At 54.2% G+C, this 13,563-nt stretch overlaps 2 annotated features.

Annotated features, from left to right (window-relative positions):
- Nucleotides 6,775-7,718: an enhancer, noted in NCBI's record as "H3K27ac-H3K4me1 hESC enhancer chr17:47948287-47949230 (GRCh37/hg19 assembly coordinates)". NCBI's record gives its function as "activates a minimal SCP1, AML or CMV promoter by ChIP-STARR-seq in naive H9 embryonic stem cells {active_cell/tissue: H9 hESC(naive)}" and the evidence as "EXISTENCE:reporter gene assay evidence [ECO:0000049][PMID:30033119]".
- Nucleotides 12,388-13,082: an enhancer, noted in NCBI's record as "NANOG-H3K27ac-H3K4me1 hESC enhancer chr17:47942923-47943617 (GRCh37/hg19 assembly coordinates)". NCBI's record gives its function as "activates a minimal SCP1, AML or CMV promoter by ChIP-STARR-seq in naive H9 embryonic stem cells {active_cell/tissue: H9 hESC(naive)}" and the evidence as "EXISTENCE:reporter gene assay evidence [ECO:0000049][PMID:30033119]".

The raw sequence follows: 13,563 nt of genomic DNA, 5'->3' as shown, positions 1-13,563 counted from the left end.
ATGGTCTCAAACTCCTCAGGTGATCCACCCGCCTCAGCCTCCCAAAGTACTGGGATTACAGGTGTGAGCCACCGCGCCCAACCAACTCCTTATTTTTTTATTTTATTTTTTTTTTTTGAGACAGGGTCTCACTCTGTTGCTCAGGCTGGAGTGCAGTGGTGCCGTCATGGCTCACTGCGACCTCTGCCTCCTGGGTTCAAGTGATCCTCCAACCTCAGCCTCAGTAGCTAGGATTTCAGGCACGTGTCACCATGCCCAGCTAATTTTTTGTAGAATCAGGGTCTCGTTAATGTTGCACAGGCTGGTCTCAAACTCCTGGGCTCAAGCGATCCACTCACCTCGACCTCCCAAAGTGCTGGGATTATAAGCATGAGCCGCTACGTCCAGCCTCTAGTGCTAACTCTTGAGCCTCCCTCTTCCCTCTCCTGTCAACTGCACCTGCCCCCATACCTTGCCCAGTGCCACAGCAGCAGGGTGGCCTTCCAAGGCCTGGAGCAGAGGAATTCCCTAATTCTGCCCCACTCTAGGCCAGGATCCAGCACATTTAATGTCATGCACCCCCCTATGACCTGGAAAGTTCCTCCTGAGGTCTGACCCAAATCCTTCCTTCTTTTTTTTTTTTTTAGAAAAGGTCTTACTCTGTCGCCCAAGCTGGAGTGCAGTGGCGGGATCTCAGCGCACTACAGCCTCCACCTCCTGGGTTCAAGCCATTCTCCTGCCTTAGCCTCCCTAGTAGCTGGGATTACAGGCACTTGCCACTGTGCCTGGCTAAGTTTTGTATTTTTAGTAGAGACGGGGTTTCACCATGTTGGCCAGGCTGGTCTTGAACTCCTGACCTCAGGTGATCCGCCCGCCTCAGCCTCCCAAAGTGTTGGGATTACAGGCATGAGCCACCTCACCCGGCCCCGGTAAATACTTCTAATGTCCCATCTGTGTCAATGTGTCATTAGGAGCAGTGTCATTTTCAACAGAAAACATGCGGTGCAGACGGCCCTGACATCTCTCAGCAGAGGAGCTCTGGCACAGCCATGGTGACAGTGAGGCTGATGAGCACACTGCAGTTATACCCACAGGAAGAGGGTGAGGGGATTCAACCACATAAGGACCTACCTGTGTACAGAGACAGCAGTGGATGGTCCCATGGGCAGTATGGAAGATGATTTTAGGCTTGATAATGGTTAATAGTGTTCTATTTTAATGTGAGAAAATATAACTGGTGCACCAAACCATAATTTCACAGATGTTACTGTTCAGCAGTATTTGTTTACTTATTCCATTTAACAAACAGAGCGGTTTCTATGCACCCAGCACCCTCTGGGCACTTTACAAATACTAACTCCGGTAATTCTCTCAATAACCCCCTGAGTTAAGTACTACTCTTATCACCGTTTCACAGATGAGAAAACAGAGGCACAGAGAGCCCAAGGGACTTGCCCAAGTCACACAGCTATTAACAGATGGAGCTAAGTTTGTTTGTTTGTTTGTTTAAGAGTTAGGGTCTTGGCTAGGCACGGTGGCTCACGCCTATAATCCCAGCACTTTGGGAAGCCAAGGTGGGCGGATCACTTGAGACCAGGAGTTTCCGACCAACCTGGGCAACATGATGAAACCCCATCTCTACTAAAAATACAAAAATTAGCCAGGCGTGGTGGTGCGTGCCTATAATTCCAGCTGCTCGAGAGGCTGAACCATGAGAATTGCTTGAACCTGGGAGGCAGAGGTTGCAGTGAGCGGAGAACGCACCACTGCACTGCAGCTTGGGCGACAGAGCAAGACTCCATCTTAAATTAAAAAAAAAAAAAAAAAAAAAAAGAGGGTCTTGCTCTGTTGCCTAAGCTGGAGTGCAGTGGCGCCATCACAGCTCACTGCAGCCTCCAACTCCTGGTTCAAGTGATCCCCCTGCCTCAGCCGCCTGAGTAGCTGAGAGCACAGGCACGTGCCACCACACCCAGCTGGAACTAAGTTTTAAAAGTTTCAGGCCAGGTGTGGTGGCTCATGCCTGTAATCCCAGCACTTTGGGAGGCCAAGGCAGGAGGATGGCATGAGACCAGCCTGGGCAACATAATGGGACCCTGTCTCTACAAAAAAAATTTGAAATTAGCTGGGCATAGTGGCACTCACCTGTAGTCCCAGCTACTCAGGAGGCTGAGGTGGGAGGATCCCCTGAGCCCAGGAGGTTGAGGCTACAGTGAGCTGTGATCACACCACTGTACTCCAGCCTGGGTGACAGAGCGAGACCCTAGCTCAAAAATATATATACAAATACAAAATTAAAAAATCAAAGTTTTCAAAGGCATCATCAGGTCATTAGCAGGAACCATAGAAAATGCATCCTTAGCTCTGCTTATAAAGTCAAAAAATTATTGGGTGCCTACTGTGAGTCAGGCTCTGTACTCAGTGCTGGAATAAAGGGAAAAGGGAGGGAAAAGGTGAGGGATCAGATTGCTCATCTGTGAATTCTAACTGGGAAACATCCCGCTTTGCCTACAGCTGAGGTCCCGTCTCACCTAGGAGGCCAGTGCTTTGATCTGTGGGCTCTGTCTGCCCCAGCCCACAGCTCATCCCTGGCTGTATCAGGGGTGGAAGTGCACACTCCTGAGAGCTGGGCCAGGGCAGGCCGGAGGAGCATGCCGCTCTGGGGAGAATGCCCCAGCCTCTAGGGGAGCAAGCAGGGATTAGGGACATGGCGCAGGAGCCGCTGCAGCTGCTTTCATCTCCACCACCCGGCGGGGTGTCTCCCACCATCAGTCGGCCTTGCCTCTCCTGCCTGCAGGCCTGCCTTCCACCTGCCCCACCCCCACCCCGTGGATTTCAATCCTCTCCCACCCATCCACCCCTACCATTCCATTGCCTCCTTGGCACCCCGCCCCTGCTCTTCATAGCCAGCCCCTCCCCTCCTCTCAGCCCAGCTCCTTCTGGCCCTCTTGCTGGAAGCTGGTCCCACCTCCTCCTCACCCAGCACCGGAAGACCCTCTTACCGTGACAGCCATCCCCTTCATGCCTAACATGGGTCCCTCTGGCCATACCCTGAGCCACAGCCAGTCATCAGGAGGGCACAGGAGAAAGTACAGGCAATCCACTCTTTCAGATCACTTTTTCAGACTTTTCCATTTTTGCCTCCCCTCCCCTATCTGACTCAAATGCACATACCTCCTGCCCACCAAGCATGTGCCAGTCATAACAAGAGATGGGCAAGGGCTTGGGCAGCTTGCAAGGCACACTGTGTCTCTGCCCCTGGCCGGCCATAGGCCCATTTCCTTCCTCCAAGCATTATCACCCATTCCTCAAGGAGAGGATGGTGGATGGGGTTGGAAGTTAGTAAGAAAGGAAGAAGGGAGGGGGTCCGGTTAGGAGCCACCAATGCTAATGCAAACATGTGGCACTTCGTTTGTGCCATGTACTGCTCTCTGTCCAAAGTGCCTTAGGCTCCTGAACTCACCTAATCCTTATAACAAGCCTATTAGTTAGACACTCTTTCCATTCCATTTTTACAGATGAGAACATGAGGCACAGAGAGGTTTGGTAACTTGCCCAAGGTCACACAGCTAGGTGTTCAGGGCAAGACTTGGACCCAGACAGTTTTGCTCTCAACTATCACTGTGTAACTGTCCTGCTTGAAAGCTCCTCACTTACAAAATAAACTGAGGCTCACTCCTCTGAAAGGCATTCAAAGCCCTTCCCAAGTTCCAAGCTCTCTCTGCAGCATCCCCTTTGACTATGCCCTTCTCAGAGCCTGACAGCCTGAATCCCACCTCCGCCAGCTTCCTAGCAGTGTTACCTTGAGTAAATCACTCTACCTTCCTGGGCCTCAGCTTCTCATCCCTAAAATGGGGGATAATGATATCTACTCTCAGGCTGATTGAGTTCACCCAGGTAAAGTGCCTATAGGGCCCTGGCACCTCAGGAGGAAGACAGAGGGGAGCCCTGAGGTGGTGAGTTGGGGTGTCTGGGTTGTTAGGTGGGCGTGGAGGGGAGGGGGTCTCTTGCCAGGGGCCATGGTGGGAAGGGGGCTGTCACCCAGAGAGGAGTGTGCTCTGGAGTAGCCTGGCCAATAACTAGCATGGGGGCCACAATGACACTCAAGTACCCAGGGTTAGATGGCAACAGATCAAAGGCTCCCATGCCCACCTCCCACCCATCCACAGAGGGGCAGCCCTGGCTGGGGCCTGACCCAGACCCTGTGCCTCCTATCAGCCCCCTGAGCCCGGGTGCAGCCCACAGGTCAGTGGTTGGGGCTACCAGGAGAGAGGGCTGCTACCTTGTAGAACTTCCCCCAAAGGAAGCCCGAGCCCCTAGGCTGGGAAGGGGATCTGGACGCAGCCTGAAATGGGCCCATCCATCTTTGCTGGCCCTGCCCCCCTGGGCTGACCAGACACAGCCTACCCACGAGGAATCCAAAGGAACCAAATTAAATTGGGTATTTTTTATTTTTTTGTATTTTTTTTTTAGACAGGGTCTCAGTGTCACCAAGGCTGGAATGCAGTGGCGCAACCACAGCTCACTGCAGCCTTGGCCTCCAGGGCTCAAGCAATCCATCCACCTCAGCCTCCTGAGTGGCTGGGACTACAAGCATGCACCCCCATGCCTAGCTAATTTTTTAACTTTTTATGGAGATGGAGGTGGGGGGCGTCTCACTATGTTGCCCAGGCTGGTCTCCAACTGCCAGACTCAAGCAATTCTCCCACCTCAGCCTCCCAAAGTCCTGGGATTACAGGTGTGAGCCACTGCCCAGCCAGGAATCAAATTAGTTTGTGAATGTGAAAAATAAGAAGACAGAGAAGTATAGACAGAGCTGGGGTCCCAGAGCCTAGGCTGGGGTCCAGACCCTTTGTACACTTCCTGAACCACAGGTACAGCTCCTCCTCAATTTCCTCACCTGCAAAACAGGAAAAACACAACCCATCCCCCGCCTTGTCTCATGATTGCTGCCAGGGGACTCCAAATGGGAACAGGTGTGTGAAGGTGCAACTGTAAAGTACTCGAAATCTCAAGCAGCTCTTATCTGAGACGTGCCTGCATCCATCCATTTTAAGTGCAGCTGTTAGAGCAATCGCTACACAAGACGGTGTGTGTCGGATGGAGCTTTCAACATGGGGCAGAGGGCCAGCCCACTCACAGCCCTCCAGAACCTTGATCTCCTACCAAGAAGGGAATGGGCTGGGGCAGGGGAGGTTCTGCCATCAGGATGTAATTCGAAGTCCATCTAATTTGGTCATGCCTACCACTTCCCTCTTCTTGAACCAGTCAGATGGGGGGATACATATACATATCCCCTGCCCCCAAGAGCCCCTCAGCTGATGGGGGACAACCAGCCTCAGGTCTCAGGACCCTCCCCCCTCAGCATCCCACCCTCTCAGTTCTGGAGACAGACCCCAGGCACAGGGAGACACAGCAGCCCTATGTTGTGGGGTGAGGGCTGATGAGAGCAGGAAGTGGGCTGGAACCTGCTCTCCACCCACCCACTCACCTCTGGGTTTCTTTGAGCCTCATTTTTGAGGCTGCCGCCCTGCAGGCTACCTGGGAATTGGTGGGTCCCTGACACCCCTGGAGGCCCCATCCTCCTGATCTTGCCCACTACAGCCTTTTAGCCCAGCGTCTGGGGCTGAACGCAGGGATGACGTAGTGGTTCTTCCCACTGTAGTCCTCCCCACCCCCACTTTGCACTCCTCCCTGCCACTGAAGAGGCTGGGATGGTGTCAGAGAGGAGACAAGTGTGGCAGGCCAGGCTGTGATTTCCAGAATTTGGCAGGGAGGAAGTGGGGCCACAGGGGAAGTGATCCAGACATTGAAGAGAGTAGGGGCCCAGCTGGTCCATCTCTCCCTGCCCCTGAACGACGAGGACCCTGCTTCCTCCTCCAAGCTGAGTGATCTCCCTAAGGAGGGGCACAGAGGAGGGAAATCCCTGGACATGCTCTCTGGGCTGCTGATGGGGCAGTCTCCCCAGAATGGGAGTGGAAGATGGAGGCAGAAAGAGAGAGTGAACTAAGCAGGGAATCTCACGAGGCCTTGGTTCCAGAGTCCTGGAGAGGCCTCAAATACTGGTCAAAGCTGGGCATGGTGGCTCACACCTGTAATCCCAGCACTTTGGGAGGCCGAGGCGGGTGGATCACCTGAGGTCAAGAGTTCGAGACCAGCCTGACCAACATGGTGAAACCCTGTCTCTACCAAAAATACAAAATTAGCCGGGCGTGGTGGCACATGCCTGTAATCCCAGCTACTTGGGAGGCTGAGGCAGGAGAATGGCTTGAACTCGGGAGATGGAGGTTGCAGTGAGCCGAGATTGCATCATTGCACTCCAGCCTGGGCAATAAAAGCAAAACTCCATCTTGGGGAAAAAAAACACTAGTCAAAATAGATGTTAGAGGCCTCAAATGTCCTGAGCTTCAGGGAAAAGGCTTCATTGTCCCTACATCCTGGAGCCCTCAGGAAGCTGCCCAGGCTCCTCACTCACTCAGCACCACCTATCTCCTCCCTCCCCTCTGGCCCTGATGTCATTCTTCCCTTCCTTCCTTCTTTCCTTTCTTTTCATTCATTCATTCATTCATTCAAAGAATTAGGCCAGGCAAGGTGGCTCACGCCTGTAATTCCAGCACTTTGGGAGGCCAAGGTGGGAGGATCACTTGAGCCCAAGAGTTGGAGACCAGCCTAGGTAACATAGTGAAACCTCATCTCTACAAAAAATACAAAAATTAGCTGGGCATGGTGGTGTGTACCTGTAGTCCCAGCTACTTAGGAGGCTGAAGTGAGAGGATTGCTTGAGCCAGGGAAGCCAAGGTTGCCGTGAGCCGAGATCTTGCCACTGCACTCCAGCCTGGGCGACAGAGCAAGACCTTGTCTCAAACAAATGATAAAAAAAAAAAAAAAAAAAGGAATTGAGTGGCCACTTTCTGCCCGGCCCTTGGTTAAACACTCTGGGGGTTCTGTCTGGCCAAGACTTGCGTCCTTATTCCACTGTGTGTATCCGGCTCTCTGGGTATCCAGCGTGTCTTGTCTCTCTCATCAAACAGAAGGGTCCCCCAGGTCAGGGCTGTGCTTCGCCCCTTGGATGGGGGCTCCCCAGAGCAAGTGTCCCCTTCGGACAGCTCCCTCCCACCCAGGCAGTGGCAGGAGAAAGCAGCGCTGAGTGCCCAAGCCCAGCCCTCCCTGCAGCAGAGGTGTGCTCAGACAAGTCTGTCTGGGGTGAGCAAGCCAACCTCAGCCCAAAGCCCTGATTTCTAAAGGCAAAATAAACTCCCTCACTCCTCTAGGCCTTCTCCCCAGCCAAGAACCTCAGACCGCAGGCCCCGCCAAGTTGGCACAGCCAGGAGAAAACGGGCCAAAGTTCTTGAGGTAGGAGAGGGGGTGAGGGCCAGGGAGCCAGGTGTGAGGACCAGAAGGAGAAGACTTCGAAGGTGAGGCATGGTGGCCCAGAGAGGCAGGGACTTGCCAGGCCACAGGGCAGGGAAGGCAGGAGCTGGCACCCAGGGCACTGCCTGGAGCTGCCTCCCTCAGCAACACAGTCCCACACTCAGGTCTCAGATGCTGACACTTAACAACCACTCTCTCTCATGCACATTTTCACCTGGGATGGTGCGGGGAGAGGAGCAGGGAGGAGGCCACTTTCCCCAACTCCTCCTCTGTACCCAGCTCCCAGAGATAGGTGCCATTGTGCCCTGGAGCCTTCAATCCCTACAAGCCCCAGGACCATCCTTCCTGAACCAACCATCCACCCCGGGCTCTGAGGACCCCCTTCTTGCCAGCAAAGGGAGAAAAGGGCATCCCCATTGTGCTTCCTGGAACTCGGTCTTCACAGGGTGGCTGAGCAGGAAGGGGAGAGGGAAGGAAAAAGGGAAGGAGTAAGGGAGGCTGGGATGGAGGAAGAAGGTGGCCAATGCTACAAGACCTAAAGATGAGGAGGAAACCCCAGGTGTGCACACACGCTCATGCATCAGCACACACACTCATGCTCATGAGCACACACTCTCATGCCTGCTCACTCCCGCCCCTTCTCTCACCTTTTCGTGGATCCTCTCACCAGCAGACCCCAGCCCATTCATATGCACACTCAGGGCGCAGCCACTGACATGGTCATTCCCCCTCATTCCCGTTCACTCACATAACCACACCTTCACACACACGTATGTACATAGTCCCAAACCCTCGCTCACATGCACACGTGTGCACACACACAGCACACCTGCAGTCACTCGTGCTGGTGTATACACGTTCACATCTGTACACACAATCCCACACCGCCTCACAATCGTGCACACACATGTACACACACACCCTTGGGTGGCTGGGAGATCCCTCTGCCCCAGGTCTGGCCAACTCAGAGGGCCCCTCCCCCAGCCTGTCCAGCTCCTGATCCCCTCGGCAGCCCCCAGACATGGCTTCTCCTGGGGCCTATCCAGAAATGCTCAGTAAATATTGGATTTCCTGCTGCAGCCCCTCCACTCCTCAGCTCCCACCTACCTGGTGAGCACCCATTTTTGCCACCTAGAACTGGCCAGAACTACCCGCGCCTGAAGGGCAGTGAAGTTCTGGACAGAGGCCTGTGTCCTGCCTGCCACCCACTGTCTGGGGCCTGGAATCCCATGGGGCCCTGAGCCTGCGGCCCAGCCAGCTTGCCCTCCCCCTCCAGGAGGGACCTTAGAGAAGAGCACCTGAGGCACGCCTGATGCCTCAGTGTCCTCATCTGTACAAAGGATATAGACTTCCTGCTTGTGTTGGGTGTCAGGAGGCTCGTGACCAGGAAAGGGCTATGAACTGGAAAGCAGCATGCGCAGCTGAGGGCTGTGTCATGCCTTTCTTACCATCACAGTGCCCTTGGGAAACTGCAGCCCAGGGATGCCAAGGGTCCAGTCCGGGGCTGCAGTGCCAGTGGGGGCTCCCACCCATCTGGCTCTCAGCCCTGGGAGTCTGTGCACAGCCTGGGCTCTCACCACCCTCCAAGGCCCTTGCCCCTTTAAACTAGTCTCTCCAAGAGGCCTGGATCTGCAGCACCAGAAGTCCTGGGCCCGGGGGTGGGGGGCGGTATAAGCCTCTCCTCAGTGGCCATGGGACCCCTGCTCCTGACTGACAGATACTGCCAGAGGTGCCTGGGCCCTGGCAGGGGCTCAAGGTCCAGCCCAAGCTCCAGTGCTCTGTGGAGGGAGGTTTGTGGGGTTCTTGGCTCCCCTATTTCCATCAGGCCACGGAGAGGCTCCTAGGCAAGACCCCTCTTCTCCTGGGAAAGAGAATGGCCATGGTACCGCCTCCCACAGGGCCACGAAGGGGGCACTCTGGGTGGGAGGCCAGGTGAGTCAGAAAATCCAGACCTGCAAAGGGCCTAAAAGATGCCAAAGGAGGGGTGAGAGGGCCCTGAGGCTGCCCCCTCCTCCAGGCCCAGGAGCCCAGAGGGCCCTGACCAGAAAGGAGGCAGAGGGGCCCTGTGCTGGCTTACTTCCTGCCTGCACCAGGACCCAGCTCAATCAGGGAGCAGAGGGGAGTCCCGAGGCCCAGTTTCTGGGAGGGTAAAGGCACAGAAGAGGGCAGCCAACCATGTGTGGGGGTGAAGATCTCCTGAAAAGGGAGAGAGAAGAAAAATAAAAGGAAAGACAGAGATGGATAGAGGAGAGAAGACAGAGAAAAGATGACAGAGTGAGAAAATACACAGAGGTAGATAGAGAAATGGGGAAGAAGGGAGGGGGAAGAGAGAGAGAGAGGAGAGAGAGAGAGAGAGAGAGGAGAGAGAGAGAGAGAGAGAGAGAGAGAGAGAGAGATCCCTGATCTAGACAGAGGATCAGAGACAGAGAACCAAGAACAGAGGGAAGAGATGGAGAAAAAGAGAAGGGGTGAGAAAATGAAAAAAGAATGGAGGATCGGCGCCTAGAGAGCTGGCAGAGCTTCCCTGGAGAGCTGGGAAGAGAGTGAGGGCAAGAGGCAGGGAGTGAGGCTCTAATTATCGCAGGCAGGCAGGGCGGGCGGCGGGCAGAGCAGAGGGCAGCCTGTTTGAAGTCTGTGGTGAGAGGAGCATCAAAGGGCCAGGAGGCGAGGCCAGAGGGAGAGGAGAGACACAGGAGGGGCCACCCTCTGCTCGGGCCACCTGGACCACACAGTCTCAGCCCCCCAGTCCTCCTCCACCCCTGCCCACAGCTGGCCAGAGGTCAGAGCCACCTGCTCACGGGCAGCATCCCCAGGCGAAGGGCAGGCTGCTGACCTCAGGGACTTCTGAGCAAGGCGAGCATCTCTCATGGTTCCTGCAGCCACCACCTCTCTGTCTCCCAGAAAAAGCATCCTGGCCTCTCTCTGCCCCAGGTTCAGTGTTCTGAAGTGGGCTCCAAACTGCTCCAGCTTCAGCATCTTAGGACCAGTCCCCATGATTTGCCTTTCCTTGGGCCGGAAAAACTCCAGCTCTTGAGGTTCGGAACTTCCAGCCAGGCAGGGATGCCAGCCTCTTGGCTGAAAGGGCAGGTCCTGAAATGACCTCTAGCCACCTCCTGCTCTGGTCAGGAAGTCAGCCTCACTGCAGCTCCCAGAAGATGCTTTCTCCAAAGGATGTTTCTCTATGCCTTCCCTCTTCCACCCATTCCAGAGTTCTATACCCCTCTAGGCCAGAAAGTCCTTCTGGTGGTCTCACCCAAATCCTTCATGCTGCCTCTTATTTCAGACAGAGGCTGACTGGCCCCTGCACCAGCCCTGGAAGCCTTGAGGATCCCCATGTGGGCCCATCTCTGGTCCTCTAGCCTTTGCATCCTCTGAAGCCCTCTCCTTCACCTCTCTGATGTGTCCCTCCAGTTGATGCTCCTTGGACCCATTCTCTCCAGCTGGGCCTGGGACTGCAGGGAGGGGGGGGTGTTCAGAAATTAGGGGTGGCATGAGGCAGAGAAGTCAGGCCAACTTGAATAGGAATCCTGATTTTCCAACATCCTGCCTGGGTAATACTGAGCATATCCTTTCACCTTTCTGAGCCTCAGTTTCCTCATTTGTAAAATGGGAGAAGTACTCCCTACCTTGAAGGGATGTTGTGAGAATTAAATGTGACGATGTATGTAAGGCACCTGGCATCCAGCATGTTCTCAATGCATGAGGGCTCCTATAATCATGGGAAACCAGGCCATAGAGTCCCACGAGAGAAGATTTTTCCGAAGGGCAGAAGAGACCAAGAAATAGGCCAACACCTTCTAGACTTTTCCATAGCATGGTTTCTCTCCATCAGTCTAGATGATTGAGAGCTGACCAAAACTAAGGTAGATGTGAAAAACTCATTCACTATGTATAGTCTGTCTTTTAAAGACTCCTCCAGGCTCCCAAATCTCTGCCACGAATCTACTCTCATGCCTATCCACCCACTATCCCATTCGCCTATGCATCCTTCCATCACCTATTCATCCTTCCTTCCTTCCATCCATCTATCCATTCATCCATCCTATTCTTCCTTTCTTTCTTCTACCCATCTATCCATTCAACCATCCATCCATCCATCCAGCCATCCATCATGCACCCACCTAATAATCTATCCATTCAACCATTCACCCTTATATCCATTTACCTAAACACCCACAAATCCATCCAAACATCAGCCGCTCCTCCATCCACAAACCCCACCTGCCCACTCATCCATCCATCCACTTACCCACTAACTCACACATGCATCCTCCATCCACTCACCTGGACATCACCCACTTCTATATATTTATCCACCCACTCACCACTGTGTGTTCCTCTACATTTATAGGTCATCTCTTATTTCAAGACACTGAGCCAGCTCCCTAACCTTCATGGCCTCCCCCAGTCATTGGGAAATCCCAGCATCCTTCTTGGAAGCACACTCCCATAGAAGGGATGGGGCCAGTGCCTCACCACCTCCACTGAAGACCAAACCAAAGGAGACAGTCCTTTTCTGCAGCAGGAGGGGCCTAAACTATGTAATAACTTTTGGATAAAAAAGAATATGGAGGGCTCTTTAAGAACAAAGTAGACCCCAACCCACATAGCAGAAAGAGGAGGATTTCCATAACTCTCTCAAAAGCATGGGATGGACCATAAGAACTGTCTGTGGAATTGGGACCTGATTGCTCAAGGATTGGGTGTGACTCAGGGAGGAGCCAGGTCATCTCATCCAGCTCCCACTGGCCCAGCTCCATTCTGGAGTTTCCCGAGACAGCAGATTCTTCAGGGGTGGAGGGGACAGGTACTGGGGAGGCAGAGGTCTGGTCACAGGAATTATGAAGGATCCAAAGGGTCTCTCTTGACACTTACAGAGCAAGACCCTGGGTTCTCTCTCCGCTTTCTTGCTCACCAGTTGTGTGAGTTTGGATAAATCCCTTAACTTCTCTGAGCCTTGGTTTAAATACCTCTGAAATGAGAAAAGTAGCAATACTCACCCTTTCTGTTGTGAAAATCCAATGAAAATAAACATGAAAGAATTTTGAAAACCATTTCTGGTTTTGCACAATGTGAAGAAAAGGGCCAAACTTTGGGCCTTGAAGTCATGAGACAGTTACTCTAACCATATACTAGTTGCTCTGCTGATGCAGGGGAAGCCACAGGGGACTCTCCTGAAACACAAGTAATAGCCACTCCCAGTGTCATCCCCAAGTCTCCTCCATCCAGCCTTATCCCTCCTGAGCCCGTGGTGAAATGGACAGCTTAGCCTTGAGGGGGTATGCCTAGCTCTCACTGGAGGAAGCCTGCCGCCTTCTCTCCCTCCTGCTCTCAGAGCTCACTGGCCTGGTCATGCCCTCCCCCAGGAATGCAGGGGAAAGAATGGAAGGTCTGAGCTGCAGTCAACAGTGGGGGAGGGGTGAGAGGGCAGGGAATGAGGGATTCAAAGACACAGGGGTGACAACAAAGATGTAGGCCTTCCAAGCACAGGCTGGAGTGACAGAGAAGCAGAAACCAAGGTGAGAGCCTGCCCAGGCCAGCAATGGAAGGTGGTGTCCCAAGACCCGCTTCTCAGGGGCCTGTACCTCTGCTTCCACACATACCCCTGCTGAGCAAGACACACACACACACACACACACACACACACACACACACACACACACTCTCCCAGGCTAGAGAGGCTGCGGTGAGGGCACCGCCCCTGGGCTTGAGGTGTTGGTGCCAGCCGGGTGGGCTGGCACAAGGTGGGGAGAGGGCGGTGCGGGCAGCTAATCCCCCCAGCGTCTCCCAGACGCCCACAGAGACCAGGGTGAGCTCTTTGTCTGAGCGTGGAGACGACAGAGGGGCGGCGGGCAGGCGGGCAGGCTCCTCTTTCTCTCCCCTGCCTCCCGCCTGGGGCAGGTAGAAGCCTGCAGTCTGTGGGGACGGGTCGGAGGGAGTGGGGGTGAAAGGATTAGGAGAGAGACAGGCGCTTACAACTTGTAGGGTTCCCTCCCTCAGGCCCAGAGGGCCTGTGGCTTTGGGGTGGGGGTCCCCGGAAGGGCAAGAGGCCATGAACCTCAGCAGGGAGCAGGCCTCGTTTGCAGTGGCTGATAGGTCTGTGCACGTTTCACACACCCAGCTACACTCAGAATCACAATCACACGTGGGTATGTGCGCACACACACACGCACACACAGAGTCAGAGCCCCAAACTCTCCATCCACACATGTGTTT

Source organism: Homo sapiens, chromosome 17 (assembly GCF_000001405.40).
Source record: "Homo sapiens chromosome 17, GRCh38.p14 Primary Assembly".
NCBI lineage: Eukaryota > Metazoa > Chordata > Mammalia > Primates > Hominidae > Homo > Homo sapiens.
Note: the sequence above shows the minus strand (reverse complement) of the source record. Positions and strands in the feature narration are given on the sequence as shown.